The following is a 19,761-nucleotide window of genomic DNA, read 5'->3' on the forward strand; positions in this document are numbered from 1 at the left end:
CAGTGGATGTGGTGGGTTGTCATTGCCCAGGTCAGCCTGAAGGGGAGGTATATTTTGATAGGATGTGAATGGGGAAAGAGGTCCAGGGTTCACAGAGAGTAGCCCATCAGCAGCTTCTACACAGGTGACCTTGAGGCTGTCGGGGAAATGTAGCTTTTTTATTGCTTTTACCCCACCATTTTTTAGGACAGTTCTAATCTAGATTAGTTTGTATCTTTTAATCTTTTTTTCTTTTATGGTGTTCATTATTATGTCTGAATTCTGAAAAAATGCTGTTTATTATCCCCATTGCCTTAGCTGTGGGAGCCCACTTTTATAGCTGCCCCAACTTCTGGAATCTCCTCTGGCACAGTGCTTGTAGGGACATGTACATGGATCAGGCCACAGGGCATTTTATTTATGTGACTCTGTTCAAACTTTTAAGTAAGAGTGGAGATGAGTGAATGTTCTAGATTTCCAGAATGGGAAAGAAGATTCTGAAAATTAACAACAGCGAGCTGCATGTTCACCCTTGGCAACAATTGGCAAAAATTCTACAAATAATCATTTTAAACATGATTTTTAAGTCCTTAGAAAAGAAACCAACCATTGGGAGTGTTATTGACACATTGTCTTGATGGAACCAAGGCCATATGACAGACTCCGGTAAAGACACCTGGGCCAAATGGTGGCAGTACACTTAGGTGGAGTTACAGCCTATGGATTTCAGGCTTAATGCTAGGAAGGGTGGTCGCTAACATCTTGCTGTGTAGGGCCCTTCCTTTCCAGCATTTCTGATGCAATGCAGAGGAGCACATAGAAGACATGCATTTCCAATGTATGAAAAACCCCATACTAGCCAATGTGTGCTAGGTGATGGGATCAGGGTTTGAAATGATCTTAACTTGGTAGGATATTGGAGCAAAACTAATAATATAAAATTGATATAGATAACAATTACTCAGTTGTTATCAGTAAAGGATAGGAGGTCTGTCTTAACGGATCCAAGCTTATTTGAACCAGTAATTGGATATGACTGATTAAAAAGTTAATATTCCCCTAGGCTGAGTTAACAGAAGTATAACATAATTGCCAGACAAAATGTAACAATAGCCCCATCTGAAGTGTTGTATTCCAAGCCAGATGCCAAGTTTTAAGAGGGACATTAACAAACTGAAGAGAGTTCAGACACAGATAACCAGGTTAGTGAAGGGACTGCAGTTGGAGCAGTGATCAAAATAAATGCTGATCTTGTCTGAAGAAAAGATGACTAAAAAGGGACATGATGGACCCATCTTTGAATATTTGAAGTGCCTTTCTGTGGAGCAGGGATTCGATTTATTCTGTATAGCTCCCAAGGGTCAAATTAGGATAGATTGAAAGATTTTATGCTAATATATGTGAGAATTATCAAAAGTTGCAATTAAACATTATGGTCCCTTTTGCTGCTTGTACTCTTGGCTTTTTGACTCACCCTGTGTAGCCAGTTCCACCTTATGCTGTCACTGATGATGAACTGGGGAAGTTATTCAAACTGATGATATGACAAGGTTGTGTATGTAGTGTGACCTCAACTACGAAAAACAAAAATTATCTGTAGAAAAGAGGCTGGAAAGAAGTACACCAAAGGTTTCAGTATTTGGGCTATCTGAAGAAAGGGATTATGCATGTCTTGTCTTCTTCCTTTCACTTGTCAATATTTTTCAAAAACCCAGAATGAACATGTATTACTTTTACAATTGGAAGAATTCTCAGCAAGTTTTATTTTTGTTTGTATATGATGCCCTAGAGGATGGAGTTAGTGCTGAGTGGGTGAATAAAATGCCTGTCTGACACTGACTACTAACTTATTTCTTCTTCCACTAAGTTTTACATAAACATTTTGAGCAATTGGCCACAACATTTAGTCCAAGTATAAAAGCAAGCAGCTGACAGCAGAAAACATCATATAAAGAATGCCATTTAAATGGTTATACAGGAGTCTAAAAACATAGTCATCATAGTGTTTCTTCAATTAAAGTCCTAAGCAAGAACATTAACTGTGGATTCTGCTGCAAACTGAAAAAAATTTTGTTGCATGTTTGACAAAAAGCTGTCATCTCACTGGCGTTTTGAAGTGGACACCTGTTTGTTTCAGGTATGTAAACACTGCAGTAGGAGTGATGAGTCCAGATGTGTGTGGTCTGATTCTGGAGTCAGCTCTGCTATTTTGTAAGGAGTCAAGGGCAGATTCCCTGCCTCCTGTTGCCCAGAGAAGTAGAGAAACAGTGTCCATGTCCTGAGATTGCCACAGTGGCCTGCTTCTACCTAGCCCTCCTTGCCTGGTCTGCCCCTGCATTCTGGCCCACGCCCCGTCTCCAGCGTGTTCGTCCTTAGAGTGAGGCCGACCAGCTTATTTCTCAGTTCCAAAACTATCATCGGTTCCCTGTTGCCCACAGAGTGAAATCCATTCTCTTGGTATGGCCTAAAAGTCCTTCTGACTCCTCCAACCTTGACTCACATCACTTCTTCCCAAGTGCATTGTTCTCAAACTACGCAGAGCCTTTCCTTCTCCCATCATGCATGTGCCATTCTCACGGAACCTGGATGCCCTTTCTCCACCCCTTTCAGAAGCTGCTAGTCATCCTTCAGAACCTACCTCAAGAGCCACACCCTCTCTGGAGTCTTCCCCAGCTTCTCTTGAAGGAATCATTCCTTCTTTGTGTCCCTGCAGCCTTTTCTTCATGCCTCTGTGTTATTAACACATTGCTATGAAACCTTCCCTGGCCCTTTAGCTAAACTTTTAATATGTCTTTTCTGTGTTTAATTTTTCTCTTGAGTGCTTGTCACTGTGTCCTATGTTATATATTTCACTGATTCATCTTGTTTGTTGTCTCTCTAAGGACAAGGATGCTTGTCTGTCTATTCACTGATGTTCTTTCAGTTCTTGGGAAGGAGTCTGGCACATTGAAGATGCTAAGTCAGTGTGTGTTGAATGAATGGATTCTGTCATATTTATTTGCTGCTATGTCTGTGGTCTTATCAAATGCTGAGTCCATTTGGTCCTTCATGCCTAGCTAGTACAGTGTCCTGGTAGACAGTAATACACAGTAAAAGTGTATTGAGTGAACTTGGGAGGAAATGGGCTCCTAAGTTGTTAGTGCTGCTCAGAGGGCAAAGGCCTAGTCACTGTGGTTTGACCACAGTATGGCTCCTGCTACATTGTGGCATCTTGAATACTAACATTGCTTCTGGATTTGAGAAATCCCATAGCTACCTTTTGGCCTTGAGGGTACTAAGGAATTTGGCTTTGGGTTAATGTTGTGACTATAGTAGGGCCTACTGTAGGTAGGTGATACCCTGTAATCTGGTAGACTACCATGAGTAAGACTGCTTTCAGGATTCCTTCCAGGAGCACTTTGTGTTTAGGTGCTCTAGTGCATGAGAAAGATACCTTAACCCTCGTTCATTCAGGCATTCATGTCTTCATTCCAGAAACATTCACTGAGCACCATGGTGAATTTAATACTGTGCAAGGTGCATAATACTATACCCTGAGGCCTGCATAACCTCATAGGATATAGAGTTGAGTAATTGTGGTATAATATGACAAAGCCTACAGTGGTATGCATAGTGCTGTGAGAAGGAAGAAGACGTACAAGGGAAAAGACGATTATGCCAGTGTAGCAAGTCATAGAATGCTTTATAGAGGAGATGATACTTGAACCAACTCTTGAAGAATGGTAACAATTTTCTGGACAGGAAGGAAAAAGGAGCATATCAGGTAGAGAGTTACCGTGTCTATATGGTACTTTTCTGTATCGCATGTATAACAATATGGAAAAGCACCATTTGTTATGAAGATGGTTGAATGATCGGTTGGAGCTGGAACATTGGGGGTTGATGGAGGAGTGGGGAACAGAAGAGGATGAGGCTGGAAGAAGAGCCAGCAGCCTTAAGAGTCTCATAAGTCACAGTTAAGCAGTATGCAAGTTACACAGACAATGACATATCCAATGTGATTTCAGGAAGAGAACTCCAGCTGCAGTGTGTGTGTGATGGGTTAGGGGCGGGAGAGACTGAAGTCAGGAAGCCCAACTAGGAAGTTATTTTAGTTTCCTAGGTAAGTGATAAGGGCCTTAATACAGTCATAGTGGAGATAGAAAAGAGGGGACAGCCATGAGAGATTTGGAGGGCTTGAGTGGCCATTTGGAAGATGGAGTTGAACAAACTTTCACTTGAAAGATAGGAGCTGCTCCCATTCATCTGAATAGACATATTACAGGAGAAGGAATATGTTGTAGATAAGCCCAATGGGGAAATTAGTCTGAAGGCATGGACTTACAGCTCTACAACTACCACGTGGAAATGGCTCAGAAGCAGTTGGAAACCTGACTCTGAAGCTTCTGAAGTCATTAGCATATTGGTAGCACTAAAGACCACAGACATTCATGAGCTGGGAAGAGTATGTAACATAAAAAGATATGGGCTAAGGAGAGGACCCCGGGGGACATGGACACTTTTCCATGGTGCGGAGAGCGAGAAGAGCCAGTGGAGACAACCAAGTGGCAGCAGCCAAAGCAGTAGAAAATCTTTGGATAAAGGGCTGTGATGGAAGTCAGTAGGAGAGAGAATCTCAAGAAGGAAGGGAGCAGACCATGGTGTGAAATGTTGCAAGTTTCAGTAAGATAAAGAATGAAAAGAGGCCATGGAGTGTGTGGCCAGGAGGAGGCTCACAGGAGCCCCAGCGAGAACAGATTCCATGGAGATGTGAGTCCTTGGGTCTTTCTCGCAGTCCTCTTCCACCTTGGTCTTTCTGTAAAGATTCTGCAGCTTCCAGGCCTCAGCAAGCTGCTCTGCATTTATTCTTCTCCCCGTGGCTTTAAGCTACCCCCTTGGCTTTAGTCACTTCCATGCACATGAAATTGTATAGTAACAAAGCTCCTTAGAGTTTACCCAGCCTTTTTCCATTGACTCTTTCATCTGAGCATGACAACAGCTGACAGATAGGCAAAGCAGACGCTACCCTAGCCATGTTTTTTCCCCTAGTGCTACCTCTCTTTTGAGCCCCAGTTTCTCTTTCCTTACTGCCTGCTGGAGATCCCTTGAGTTTTCACCTGGCATCCCAGACTCATGGTCAAGCTGAAATTGTTCAACTCAATTGTCTCCCTCCCCCGAGTTCCTTCTTTTGGTGTTCTTGTTTCTCTTAATGGTGCCATTTTCTTCTCATCACCCTGGAGTCTCCTCTGTCTACCCATCCCCACTTCTCTGTAGACTTCATCACATTTGCCTCATCCTTTCTAGTCACGTTGCCCTACCCTCATCCTCGGTGTCTGTCTCCTAGGCCCTGGCAGTCTCCTTCAGCTAGGCCTCCCTGACTTCTGCATCTCTCCCTTCTATTCTATCTGCTCCCTAAGACATACCTGCAATCTTCTCATTCCCTTACTCAGAAACTCTCCTTTCCTACCTTATCGCACATTCCCTAGCCAGGTGTTCACGGTCCTCACCACTCTGCTGCCATCTTATCTTCCCAGCATTGCTCTTTCTCCCCTCCCTTGTGTATACACCCCGTGCTTTGGCTCCCATAAGCAACTTGGTCTTCCTAAACAAGCCCTCTGCCTCCTCACCTGTGGACTTCTCGTGCAGCCATTTTGTCCCCCTAGAGCATACATTCATCCCCACCCCATCTCTGCCATTTGCCCCCGACTCCTCTTAAAAATCGTTCCGAAGTATTTGCTATAGAAAGCTTATGAAAAATAACATAAATGTCTGTGGGTCCACCACCCAGCTGAAGGAATTCCATCCTTTCCTCCCTCTTCACAGCAGAGGTAATCACCATCCAAAAGTTGGTATTTCTCACTCGTGGTCATTTCACACATCCCTTTTTAAAATAGAATGGAATATAGGAAATGTGGAGGAAGCTAAAGGAATGGGGGCTTTTAAGGCTTCCAGTGGAGCAGATCCTAACCCTTGGTCAGTATAATTTGGCTCTAGGTTCAGGACTGCTGGCAGGGTGAGAAACATGTTGGATATAGAGTTTTCATTTTCTGAAGACAAGTCAGAAACAGCACATTCTTCCTGGATTAAATTCAAGGACAAATTTGTTGTTTGGCTTTTCTCTAAAAGATAGTGACACAGTGATTCAATTCTTCAGGCAGTGTATTACCCAAAGATTCTTGAATCCTTTTCAATTTGATGGCTCTTTTGTTGATTCTCTATAAAGATGGAGCATACAGTGTTAACTTTTAGTTGGTAAAAGTGCTTCTGTGAAGAACTATATAATGTGGCCTACTTTGTTTTTCTGATGAGTTGCCAGTGCAAAGGTAATATTTGGAGAATCAAGACGAGTAGGCAGTTTACATGTCTGTCAAACTCTGTCTCAAATACCTGGTTATGAAATGGCTTTCAGATGGGTGCTGGGTGTTGTGCCATCTAAGAGCTGGGTGTGGAACAAGTGCAGCAGTACTCGGGTTTCCTCATCTCTATTGGTGGCTGTCATTGGATCTGTAAGCCTTGGATACTACCAGGAAGGGAGGCAGAGTTTACCTTTCAGTGTGAGCATTTCAAAGCCAGACCTATATTCTTTTTCAGAGGGAAGGCCAGTCCACTTAATTACAAGCACAGCCAAAAAGGATTCCTGTAGTATTTTTTCCTTGAAGAAAAAAAAAAAAAAGCATTGGAAACTTTTCAAGACTGTCCTTTTCAGGTCCTTCTCTCTAGTGGATTTGGCACCTCTTTTCATTTTATGGTAGGTGAAATAATGCTAAATAGACTATAATAAAACACCCTAGTCTGTCCATAAATCGGAACATCAGTGGGAGCATAGGATCTATGCTATAGGTATTATTTTAAACTTCCAGTCTTAAATCATCTTCTTATATTGCTGCTGCAAAATGAATGCCTTCTTCACATTAAAAAACAAAACAAAACAAAACAAAACAAAAACCTAATTCCTGCCAGTACCCTTGGTTCCTTTGTCCCTTGTCCCCATGCTAATCCCCAAACTTTAGGGTCTGTAAGCTACTAAGCTCTGATGTTGAAAGTCACATAACAGGTTTAATTAATTAGTTCCACTACAAGTTCAGGCTTTCAGAAAGGGTCTCATCGCTGCTTTGGCAATTCCTTCGGTCTCAGATTGACTTCTCACTACACCTTCCACCACTACAGTGACAAACCTTTCATGCTCTTTGGCTAACCTCATCTCTTGTTCTGTTGAAAAGTCCCCTTGTCACCACCTAAGGAGGTCTACCTTCACCCATTTTTTCCTCCTTCCCTCGCATCTGAGAGGAAGGAATCAGACATCTTATTTTCCAAAGTGAATCCCATTCTTTACACCTTTCTCCTCTGGAGTCTTAGTTCCCCATTGGTTATTCTGTGTCTTACATTTTTGGTTTTCATCATTTTTGATTCTCCTTCCCCCCGCTCTGTGAATCTGCTCAACTTCCTTCCCTTCCTTCCTTCCCTCCCTTCCCTCTCTTCCCTTTCTTCCCTTCCTTCCCTCCCTTCCCTCTCTTCCCTTCCTTCCCTCCCTTCCCTGGGTTCCCTCCCTTCCCTGGGTTCCCTCCCTTCCCTCGGTTCCCTCCCTTCCCTTCCCTCCCCTCCCCCTCCCCTCCCCCTCCCCTCCCCTCCCAAAATGGACAGAGCTGTCCATTTTGAGACAGCTCTGTTGCCCAGGTTGGAGTGCAGTGGCGTGATCTCGGCTCACCGCAACCTCCACCTCTTGGGTTCCTTGGGTTCAAGAGATTCTCCCGCCTCAGCTTCCCGAGTAGCTGGGATTACAGACATGTACCACCACAGCCAGTTAATTTTTGTATTTTTAGTAGAGACATTGTTTCATTATGTTGGCCAGGCTGGTCTCGGACTCCTGACCTCAAGTAATCTGCCCACCTCCGCCTCCCAAAGTGCTGGGATTACAGGCGCGAGCCACTGCACCCAGCCTTGCCCAAGTATCTTTATTTGAAAACACCTTCTTGTATTCCTGCTACCACTGATACTATCATCCTCTTTCTTCCCCTTATTGCACAAACTTCTTTAAAAATTAGTCCACACATGCTGCTTCCACTTCCGTACTATTGACTCCTTACTTCTTGTGGTCTGGCTTCTGTTCCCTATTGAAACTACTTTACTGCTCAATTCCAGTGGCCTTGGTTGAGTTCTTGACTTTTAAATTTCTATGCAGGGATTGATTCTGTTGACTGCTCCTTCCTTTATCCTTTTCCCTATACATTCCTGGCTCTCCTCTCATTTCTGCCTCTTGCCTTCTATGCGGCTCATTTTTTCTTTCCTACCTCCTAAATATTATTTTCCCCAGAGTTCTGTCCTCACCCTCTTTTTTCTCCATTGTCAGTTGCTTTCCAATTCTCTAGCTCCAGTTCCAATCTTTCATTCTGTATTCATTGAGTATCTGAGAGTCCAGTATGTGTTAAGCACTATGCCAGGTGCTAGGATATGATGGTGAGCACCGCAAACAGTTTCTCCCTCACGAAGCTTATAGTTCTCATGGGATTGATAAACATTCTTCTGATAGTCACGCCAATATATAATAACAAGCTGTGATCAGTGTTGCGTGGGAGTAGTACAGGGGCACAACAGTTTGAGGAGCCTGGGAAATTGTCCTGAGAAAATGCTTGACCTGGGGTCTGAAGAATACATATAAGTTCCCTAGATGTGAGTCAGGGGCTGGGGAGGTGAGAAGAAGCTGAGAGAACAGCATATGAGAGGACCTGAGACCAAAGGAAGCATGAAAAATGACAGTATGGCTGAGTTGGGGGAGAATGGCAAGAGATGAGGTGAGAGAGGTAGATGGTGGCCAGATGTCCTCGGCCTTGCCCACCCTGTTCAGGATTTGGGGTTTTTATTTTTTCATTTATTCATTGGATTGATTGATTTGAGACAGGGTCTCGCTGTTGCCCAGGCTGGAGTGCAGTGGTGCAATCATAGCTCACTGCAGCCATGACCTCCTGAGCTCAAGCAGTCCTCCCACCTCAACTTCCTGAGTAGCTAGGACTATAGCTGCACACTACCATGGCCAGCTAATTTTTGTATTTTTTGTAGAGATAGGGTCTTGCTGTGTTGCCCAGGCTGGTCTCAAACTCCTTGGCTCAAGCGATCCGCCTGCCTCCGCCTCCCAAAGTGCTGGGATTGCAGGCATAAGCCACCATGCCCAGCCCTTTAATTTATTTTTTAATTGACAAAAATTGTATATATCGTGTGCAACGTGTTTTGAAATACATACACATTGTAGAATGAGTCAATCAAGCTACTTAACATAAGCATGGCCTCACATACATATTTTGTGTGGTCAGAACATTTAGAATTTACTCTCAGCAATTTTCTAGTACACAATAGTTGTTAGTTGTAGTCACTTTGTTGTACAGTAGATCTCTGGAACTTACTCCTCCTATTAACTGAAATTTTGTCTCCTTTGACCAACATCTCCCCATTGCCTTCCCCAGGATGATGATGATGATGATGATGATGATTATTATTATTATTTTTGAGATGAAGTCTCGCTCTTGTCCCCCGGCTAGAGGGCAATGGTGTGATCTCGGCTCACTGCAACCTCCGCCTCCCGTGTTCAAGCAATTCTCTTGCCTCAGCCTCCCGAGTAGCTGGGATTACAGGCACCTGCCACCACGCCCAGCTGATTTTTGTATTTTTAGTAGAGACGGGGTTTCACCATGTTGGCCAGGCTGGTCTTGAACTGACCTCAGGTGATCCACCAACCTCGGCCTCCCAAAGTGCTGGTATTACAGGCGTGAGCCACCATGCCTGGTCAGGATTTGGGTTTTTAGAGTTCAGCAATGAGAAGCTTTTGAAGCTTTTCACACCACTTTCAAAGTGGTGTGAGCCAAGGAATGATAACATCAGATGTGCTCTTCTAAAAGATCACCCTGGCTACTCTAGGGGGAATGATCGTAGATTTTGAGACCACTGCAACCACGGCAGTGGCCCAGAGAAGTTGCTGGTAGAATTGGAGTGGTTAGCAGAGTTGAGACTGATTTAAGAGGTAGACATAGGAGACTGGCTTAAGGATAGCAGAGAAGGGGATGCCAGGGGTGACTTCTAGGTTTCTAGCTTTCGTAACCAGCCACTGAGATAGGGAACTTTGGAGAATAATGTAGTTTGGAGAGAGAACTGCATTTAGTTCTGGACATTTTTAGTTCGAGGTACCCTTGAGATCTTGTCAGTTCTGTATATCCAGCCATCTCCTGGGTATCTGTACTTGGTTCATTTATCATAATCTCAAACCAAGAGTTTCTAAAATCGGCCGTGTTCATCTTTCTCTAAAACCCCCTCCTGTGTTCTTCACATCTTTTGGTGGTACCACCACTATTTATCCCAGAGATCTGGGCCCAAAGCTGATTCATCTTTGAGTCTTCCCCAGTGGCTAGTCTCTTTTGCTTTCTACCTCGGTCCTTCTCTACTTCTAGATCCTCATAGCCTCTCACTTGTACTGAAGTATCAGCTTTCATGGTTTTGAGGAGTGGTTGTAGCCCACTTCTTGCTAGTCCAGAATGCTCAGTGCTGCCAGATGAATCTTCATAAAGCACCAGTTAATCATGGCATTCCTGTTCTCCAGAAGCATCCTTTAGATCTCAGTCTCCCTGATCCTAGCCGTGTAGTACTCCCCAGGAAATTCCCATCACCGTTGCTGAAACCTGGCCTATATTTTTTTAAAATAAACTCTCCATGCTTTTCCCACATGTGCAGCTGATGTGACTCTTACTTGCTTCTCAAATGCCAATCTCCAGTTGCTCTTGATCCATCCTTTAAGGATCATTTTTAATGCAGTCATTGCCACAGAACCTTCATGCTATCTAATCATCAGATATGGTTTGCCCTCCTTTGACCTCCCCTTTCACTTTGTGTGGACTTTGCCTATGGCTCTTGGCACTAGCAACCTGGCATTGTAGTTACTTGAGTCCATGTGTCTTATCTCCCAGATAGAGCTAGGCCCTGAACTCCATGTGGGCAACTCTGCTTCTTAACTTCATGAACCCTAGGGCCCAGTAGAGTTTCTGTTACTTAGTGTATGAGACAGACAGACAGACAGAGACAGAGAGAGAGAGAGAGAAAGAAAGAATGCATTATTTTAGGTTATTTAACTCCCCTATTTTCATGTCAATTACTTTAGGTAGTTAGAAGTACAAGGCATAGACTTTTGAGTTAGAATGGGCCTTTGAAAATCCTTAAATATTTAATGATATTTAGATACTGATGACTCAGGTATCCAGAAAGTTCAGCTAATTTGCCTATTCCTGGATCTTGCAGTTTGGCCTGCTGGGTTATCTGATCTTGAATGTGTCATTCAGGGAGAATGTAGCAAGTAACCTTATTAGACGGTGGGTGCCTTTGGTCAGAAGCTGGCTGGTTCTCCTCAGCGACCTGTTTTCTTTTTTTCTGTGTAGGGCCAGGGCTCTTTGAGCTATACAGTTTCCTCTGTACAGAGACAAAGAGTAGCAAGGTGTTAGCTCACTTTTAATTCTTCCACTTTTTTCAAACATCCTTGCTTCCATGTTGATGCTAGAGTATCAGACTTATTTAGTGTCTATTCTGTGTATTTTATGTATAAATTTGACATTTAAGAATACAGTTCACAGACACTCAAATGTCAATATGGTATATCTAAGCATAATAACAGACTGATACTGTGTTTTAAATAACTGCACTGTATCGATAAGTAAATACATGAAAATATGCTGCTTATATACGTACACTGTTACTGAGTAGTATTTTTCTCTTTGGGCATTTAGGTTTCAGTCATGTCATGAGGTGTCTTACCCCGTGACATTCCTCCTTATAGGTACAAACAGTAAGATCTGTTAGATGCTTGCTAGAGCATACTGATCCACTATATTTGAAGAGCACAATTACATCTTCCAAATACTAAGATATTCTTTGCCATAATAATAATAACTTCCATTGTTTTCTAGCTACTGGCATCAGGCACGACGCCAGGTACTTTAAACTCATTTTCTGTAATCATCTCTACTTTCAGATAAATGTGACTGAGTGATAGTAACTCACCACTGTTATCAGCTAGTAAATGTCAGGATTCAGATTGAGCCAGTTTTGTCCGCCTTAAGAGCTTGTACTATTTTCTCTACATTATGATAATTATACTCGTACACTTTTTTGCTTTTTTATTTTGAAATAATTATGAGCTCATAGAACTTGCAAAAATAGAAGAGGTCCTTTGTACCTATTACTGAGTTCCCCACAATAACTATATCCCTTTATCAAAACCAGGAAGTGGATTGGCACAACTAGACTGACCATACTTGAATTTTAGCAGTATTTTTCCCGCACTCACTTTTTGTGTGCTTTTGTGCACAGTTCTGTAGCATTTGATCCCAGGTAACCACCATCAATAATCAAGACATGGAACTGTTCTGTCACCACAAAAGAACTCGCTCGTGCTGCCCGTTTAGAGTCGCGCTATCCCTCCCCTCAACCTCTGCAACCACTTCTCTGGGTTCCCTCTCTACAATTTTGTCATTTCAAGCACATTATATAAAAGGAATCATATAATACCTTACCTTTTAAGATTGGCATTTCTCAGCCAAGTGTGGTGGCCCACGCCTGTAATCCCAGCACTCTGGGAGGCTGAGGCAGGTGGATGGCTTGAGCCTCAGAAGTTCGAGACCAGCCTGGGCCACATGGTGAAACCCCATCTCTACAAAAGTACAAAAATTAGCCAGGTGCGATGGCATGTACCTGTAGTCCCAGCTACTTGGGAGGCTGAGGTGAGAGGGCTACCTGAGCCCAGGGAGGTTGAGGCTGTGTTGAGATCACACCACTGCACTTCAGCCTGGGTGATGGAGTGAGGTCCTGTCTCAAAAAAAAAAAAAAAGATTGGCGATTTTCATTCCACGTGATGCCCTTAAGATTCTTCCAGGTTCCATGTATCCATAGTTCATTCATTTTTCTTGCTGAGTGGTATTCCATGGTATGGATGCTCGCAGCCTTACACTTTTTGAATTTCTAGATAACCCATGAGCTGCATTTATATTTTATGAATAACTGCTTATTTTCTGTATTGTATTTTAATATAAAAGGCCAGGAGCAGTGGCTCACACATGTAATCCCAATACTTTGAGAGGCCAAGGCAGGAGGATTGCTTGAGCCCAGGAGTTTGAGACCAGCCTGGACAACATAGTGAGACCCCCCCACCATCTCTACAAAAAATACAAAATAATTAGTTGGGCGTGGTGGCATGCATCTGTGGTCTCAGCTACTCCCAGCTACTCAGGAGGCTGATGTGGGAGGATCACTCGAGCCCAGGAGTTTGCGACCAGCCTGGACAACATAGTAAGACTCTGTCTCTACAAAAAACTTTTAAAAAATTTGGCTGGGCATGGTGGCTCATGCTTATAATCCTAGAACTTTGGGAGGCCGAGGCAGGTGTATTACCTGAGGTCAGGGGTTTGAGACCAGCCTGGCCAACATGGCAAAACCCCGTCTCTACTAAAAATACAAAAATTAGCCAGGCATGGTGGCACATGCCTGTAATCCCAGCTACTTGGGAGGCTGAGGCAGGAGAATTGCTTGAACCCAGGAGGTGGAGGTTGCAGTGAGCTGAGATCGTGCCACTGCACTCCAGCCTGGGTGACAGAGTGAGACTCATCTAAAAAAAAAAAAAAATTAAGTGTGGCTGGTGGTGTGTGCCTGTGGTCTCAGCTACTTGGAAGGCTGAGGTGGGAGGATCCCTTGAGCCTGGGACGTCAAGGCTGCAGTGAGCCACTGTACTCCAGCCTGAGCAACAGAGCAAGAACTTATCTCTTAAAAAAAAAAAAAAAGGGGGGAAAGAAAAGAAAAACTTTGTAGCCCCAAAAGGTTTTTAAAGAACAAAAAACCAAATAACCCTTAAAAATTTTTTTTCTTTATTTTTCAAACTTATCTATCACAATATGAAAGAAAAGTTTGGATTAAAAATGGTGTAGCCCTTCATGTCTTTGTCCCTGTAAATAGATATTTCATGTTATTGTAGTCACCGTGTGTGTTGTATGCTGCTGTTTCCCACTTAAACTTACTTTTCCATGTACCATAATTATTTTAAAAACTGTATACTTGTTCCAGCGAGTTGAGTATAATTTTTTCTACCCTGTTATCTACCTCTAGCTCCATTGAACATCTTCCTTCTGTTAAGTGATAGCCATAAGTTCTTAGTAGCGAAATTATTGGATCAAAGAGTAGGACAATTTTTATGGCACTTTTAATGTGTGTTTTCAGGCATTGCCTCGAGTCTCAACCCTGCCCTATACTTACTAAACAAGTTATTGAAGCTTTGAAAAACTTAGGAAATGGGGATACTTCACCTATATCCTGGAACGGTTGTGAGGATAAAATGAGATGATGCGTGCAAAGCCCCTAATGTAGTACCTGGCACAGAAGAGAGGTATTTCCTACATGGCAGCTGCTGTGATGATCTCCTGGTGATGATTGTGCTATTACTTGACTAACATGATTCCATCATGCCAGCAGTCTTCTAGACCACTTGCACCCAGCGTTGGATAGCAAATGATGGAGAAGCCTTGCTGTGCATTAAGGCCCTTCTGCTTTGGGAAATGCACGCATGCCAGAGACAAGCACCATTTCCAGATGCTTGGTCTCTAGTGGGGGAATACATATGTGTAAATTCGTGGTAACAAGGCAGAGTGAAGCAAGTGGTTAACAGCAGTCGGAATCAAGTGCTATGGAACTTCTGAGGAAAAAGTGATGAATTCTGCCTGATCTAATTGGGAAGCAAGGCCTCATTAGAGGTGATGCTTGCTGAGCCAAGGCGAAAGTCATGGGGACAATTTTGGTAGCTGGGAAAGACAGATCATTCTAGGCAAAGGGAACACCCTGAGCAAAGCAGGTGGCTTGATCGTAGATGAAGCATCTGAAGAATGAAGAAGTTTACTTAGTTGGAGTGCAGAATATCGTGGGAGAGAATCCCACAGAAACAGGCTGGAAGTGATATCACGGACGTCCTGGAAATGTGTACCTAGGAGTTTAGTCTTTACTCCAGAGGCAGTGCACAATGGCAAATGTTTGGGGATGCATTTTGATTGCATAATTGACTGTTTTAATGCTTGCTCTGTCATGTGTGATCTGTATCATATTTTTGTTCATAAAGTGCTAAAAGGGCCAAGGTAAAATCACTCTGAAAGCATATGGTTGTTTTTATATGTTTTTTGATGTTTTAATTATACTGACAGAAATACTGACTACTGTATTTTTGTCCATTACAGGATTCTTCTCTAATACTTGATGTTCCTCTGGGTGTGATCTCGAGAATTGAAAAAATGGGAGGCGCGACAAGTAGAGGAGAAAATTCCTATGGTCTAGATATTACTTGTAAAGTAAGAGATTCGATACTTTCTTATGCAAAGAACAAGGCACGTTAGTGTTGAATGATAGTAGACAATTAATGTGGATTTGAAAAAAAAAAATCAAAATCTCATGTTCATCTAAGGCCCTGGAAATGGTTCTTCCCTTAAGAACAAGCTTTTCAAAAGTGCCTGGGAAATAGTGCCCACGTGAGGGACCCACTGCAATCACCAAATACAAGGACTCGAGGAACTGGTCAGTTTGTTAGCTTGACTGAGTGGGAAGAGAACTTTATAGATAAAATTTCTTAAACCACTTTAGTTTTTGCTCCAGCTTGCTCCTGGCGCCCCTTCATGTCATATGTTAACATGAAGGAAGGAGGAATAGAAGAGATTTTGCCCTCTGTTAACGGGATGTGTCCTTACCTCTAATAACCTTCGTAACTTTTGCTTAGGTCATTTTCAGAGGTACACTTTGCTGTGATAGTAACCATGTATTGAACATTTGTGTCCATCCAAACACATGCTAGGTGCTTTGCATTTGATCCTCAAGTGCAACCCTCTGAGATGGCGTGATGGGAGCCCGAGGCTCCAAAGAGTTGGGTAACTTTGCTAAGATAATTTCTGAAGGCTGGGACCCAAAAGGTGGGGATGTGTTCAAGCGTCTCGTGTGACTATGAACCACCAGTCCAGTGCAGGGCTTTGCAGACTTTTTCTGTGAAGGGCTCAGTAGCAAATATTTTAGGCTTTGTGGGCCACATCAGATTTCTGTTGTGTATTCTTCTCTGTGTGTTGTTTTTTCAACCCTTTTGAAGTGTTAAAAAAAAAAAAAAACAGTCTTAATTTGAAGACCTGGGCTGAAGTTTGCTGGCCCCTGGCCAATCCAAGTCGTTCATTGTATTGATAGAGAAGTGAGGCCTTTGCTGTGTGAGATTACTTGCCTTGTGTTGCCTAGGGAGCCAGCGGAAGAGCCAGAACCAAAAACTAAGTCTCCTTTTTCTAGTCTCATACACTGCGATTTCTCAAAACCAACATTGTGTGCTTATATTTGGATTATGCTGCAATATGGTGTTTTTCTTTCCGTTTATAAAAGATCAAGACTCGTTTTTTCTATCAGAAACTAAAGGATAATGCCATTATTAAATCTTAACTGAAATTCACCACTACCATCCACCTCAGCTTTTTTTTGGTGGTGTTTTAATTCGAGCTACCTTAATGCTTTATCTATTATCCCAGCTACTGTCTACCCTTTGGGGCCTAGAAACATGGGAATTTACTTTGAAGGAAGACTTTTGTATTTTGCATAAAAGGATTTATGGGAGTAGAGTGTTTAATATTAGAGTGCTCAAGGGAAAATGGGGTTGCTATATTGACAGTTTTGAGGTGACTTTCATTCTTACAGGGTTTAAAAAAACCTATTTTCTGCCTTATAATAGGAAAAACTTGTACTTAAATATCAATCCCCCCAAAATTAATGAGACAAAGCACATTTTCACCCTTGACTATTTACGAACAAAAGGCGTAGGAACAACTCACCAAGCATAATTCTGAAATGTTACATATGTATATTTTTTGGAGTTAGCATGAGCCCAAAGGTGATGGCTTAGAACAATGTTGTAGCACAACCTTTTAACTAAATTGTCTCCCCAGAAACACTGACGTCACAGAGTCATATTCCATTTTCTCAGTAACAAACCTGACATTGATATAAAGGAAATCTGCTTCGGTGAGATAAAAGACTCACTGTCCTGTCTCTCATAGGTCAACTTTCGCCTGCAGTCAATAACCATGATACAACCGCATTTCTCTCTTGAAACAAGTAGTTACAACTCCTATAAATTTGGCTATGCCAGCAATGCACATAGAGATTTCTGCTTGCCAGTAGCAACTTTCCCATGGTAGATACAAGTCCCAGAGGATGTTGTCCAGCAGCAGGAGAAAGGTAGTTCTGAATATGCAAATTCTTACCCTGCAGGCCCCATACCAACCCCTGGTGCCTGTGTGGAGTCTTTCAAACAAAAAAAAGTGAAGTAAAACCATACCACCACAAAGCCTTCTCTTTCCTTCCCCACCTCACTCCCATGTACTCGCCTTAAAGACATAGTGTGGCATTTTGAAGTCAGCAGTCATGTGTGTTGTTTCTTTAGAAATGATGCCTCAATAAATCAACTCTTCAGAGTCGTTGCAGCAGGGATATGTATTCTTCAACTCTTACTGTAGTGAGGCTTGGAACATCACCATATGACCCGGCTGTTAAAAAGGCTGAGGGTCTGACTAGGAGACTCTTAGCCCATGTGGATCTTTCCCTGATGAGTCAAACTCTGAGGAGACCAGGTGGAACTTACCAGTTAGTCTGTGCTCCTATTTCTGTTACAGATTTGGTGATCTGCCGCCTGTGAGTCATTTGCCTTTTCTACTTCAGTTTTGTTGGCAAGAAATAATATTCTGTCTTTAATTGCATCTTAATCAGATGGCAAAAAGAAGTTACTTGAATCACTTGTGCTTTGGCACATTAAAAGTAGCTGTTTGAATCACTGATAGATCAGAATAAATATTCATGTAGAGATGGTCTAATTTCTGGCCAAGCAGTGAAGAGAACGATGTTACAGAGTTACCATCTGACTTGCGGCTGTTAGGAAGAAAGTTCCTCACAGGGCCTGAGCCCTGAGAATGCTCAGCTCTCCAGTATTGCACTTGTGGCTGGTCGTAAACCCTTGTAATGCATATCATCCCATTGAAATGATTATTCCCCTTATTTAACTGTTCATTTCATCACAAACCAATAACCAATAGCCCAATTTTCTTGGGAGGTGATATGAATGGGTTGTTGGACTTTATTCTGTGACATGCTTTTTAAAAAAGCATGGAATCGTGGAGCTGGCAAGGCCTAGTAGATGTCATCTGTATACAGAGTGCTCAATCTCAAGTTCTTTATTAGTGGTCTCAGACTTTAGTTCTTCATACTTCATTTGCTGCTATTTGTGTTTGAGATGTCTTGTGAAGGCCATAGCCTGTGCTGGTCCTTCAGACTGAAGACTTGGGAAGCGTTAAGAGTGCTCTTGAGATAAGGAAGGAAAAAGCACCTTGAAAAAAAATGAAGACTGTGATATCCAAGAGGGCAACAACTAGGTCTGTACCGCTCCTGAAGTGGCTCCATGGTCCAGCACAGCACTCCTTTATCTGAAATGAAAGTTTAAAGTGCACTGCAGAGCATAGGGTTCCAATGCAGAGCCATCACTCAGTCACAGCACTGTAATTGACTTTTTTTTTTAAGATACAACCTTAAAAAACTCCAGTCTTGAAAATAAGATAGAATGTTACATCTGTATATATAATACAAATTGACATTTAAAGGAGCTTATTTGGTTTGGATTTGGTTTAAGACAAAGTTTTCCTGCTTATTGAACAGATATGTATTGGAAGCTACCTTTAAAATCTGGTTTTGACTGTTTATTTTTAGTTCCCAAAAGTGTAGTTACTACTAATATGGGCTACTTTAATGTGGCTTATATGGAACTCTGTGAAGGTAAAATTGTAGAATAAAAATATATGACTTGCATGAGGGCTTAAAATGTCAGTCATTTAGGAAGAGAGCTTCTGTATTTTAATGACATGTTTGACAATGTTGAGATTATATTTGATAGCAGGTACTCTTTAGAAAAGTTGTTTGAATAAAATAGTTTTATAATTAAAAAAAATATCAGGGCCGGATGTGGTGGCTTGACACCTGTAATCCTGGCACTTTGGGAGGCCGAGGCAGGCAGATCACCTGAGGTCAGGAGTTCGAGACCAGCCTGGCCAACATGGAGAAACCCCATCTCTACTAAAAATACAAAAAATTAGCTGGGCGTGGTGGTGCGTTCTGTAGTCCCAGCCACTCAGGAGGCTGAGGCACGAGAATCCCTTGAACCCAGGAGGTGGAGGTTGCAGTGAGCCGAGATCATGCCACTACACTCCAGCCTGGGCCACAGAGTGAGACTATGTCTCAAAAACTAAATTAAATAAAATAAATTTTAAAAAATTTAAAAATACCTCAGAACCCAGTGAAAGTAGATGGATCATCGTAGATGTTGTGCAAGGCAAGGTTTGATTTTTTTTTCCTTTTTATAAAATGAATTTTAGCTCTGTCTTCTCCTTAGTGCTAGTTGCTTTATCTTGTCTTCACATTCATGGCTATGACGGAAATATTTTCAGGTGTTCTTAAGCCAGATATACCAAATTACCATATAAAACAAAGCAATTTTGTAATAATTTAGATTAATTGCCCTTTTAGGTAAGTGAATCTTCTCCCTTAATTGAATGGAAGATTTCTTGCTAATTAACATGACTTTCTTTGAAGACTGAACTGTCATACTTCTCCTTTGCCCCCAGGACATGAGAAACCTGAGGTTCGCTTTGAAACAGGAAGGCCACAGCAGAAGAGATATGTTTGAGATCCTCACGAGATACGCGTTTCCCCTGGCTCACAGTCTGGTAAATTCCAGTG

The 19,761-nt window shown here is 42.4% G+C and overlaps 1 protein-coding gene across 14 annotated transcripts in view; it reads left to right on the forward strand.

Moving 5' to 3' along the window:
• The window catches only part of MTM1 (myotubularin 1), a 110,491-nt gene that overhangs the window by 36,739 nt on the left and 53,991 nt on the right, over window positions 1–19,761 (forward strand). For 6 of the 14 annotated variants that reach the window (XM_047442132.1, XM_011531172.2, XM_047442133.1 and 3 more), the window contains 3 exons: window positions 2,072–2,116; window positions 15,198–15,308; window positions 19,647–19,748. In XM_047442132.1, coding sequence (XP_047298088.1) covers window positions 2,072–2,116; window positions 15,198–15,308; window positions 19,647–19,748 — 258 coding nt within the window. The remainder of the gene's footprint in view (window positions 1–2,071; window positions 2,117–15,197; window positions 15,309–19,646; window positions 19,749–19,761) is intronic. The other 8 variants (XM_047442134.1, NM_001376908.1, NM_000252.3 and 5 more) reach the window with 2 other exon arrangements.

Source organism: Homo sapiens, chromosome X (genome assembly GCF_000001405.40).
Source record: "Homo sapiens chromosome X, GRCh38.p14 Primary Assembly".
In the NCBI taxonomy this organism is placed as follows: domain Eukaryota; kingdom Metazoa; phylum Chordata; class Mammalia; order Primates; family Hominidae; genus Homo; species Homo sapiens.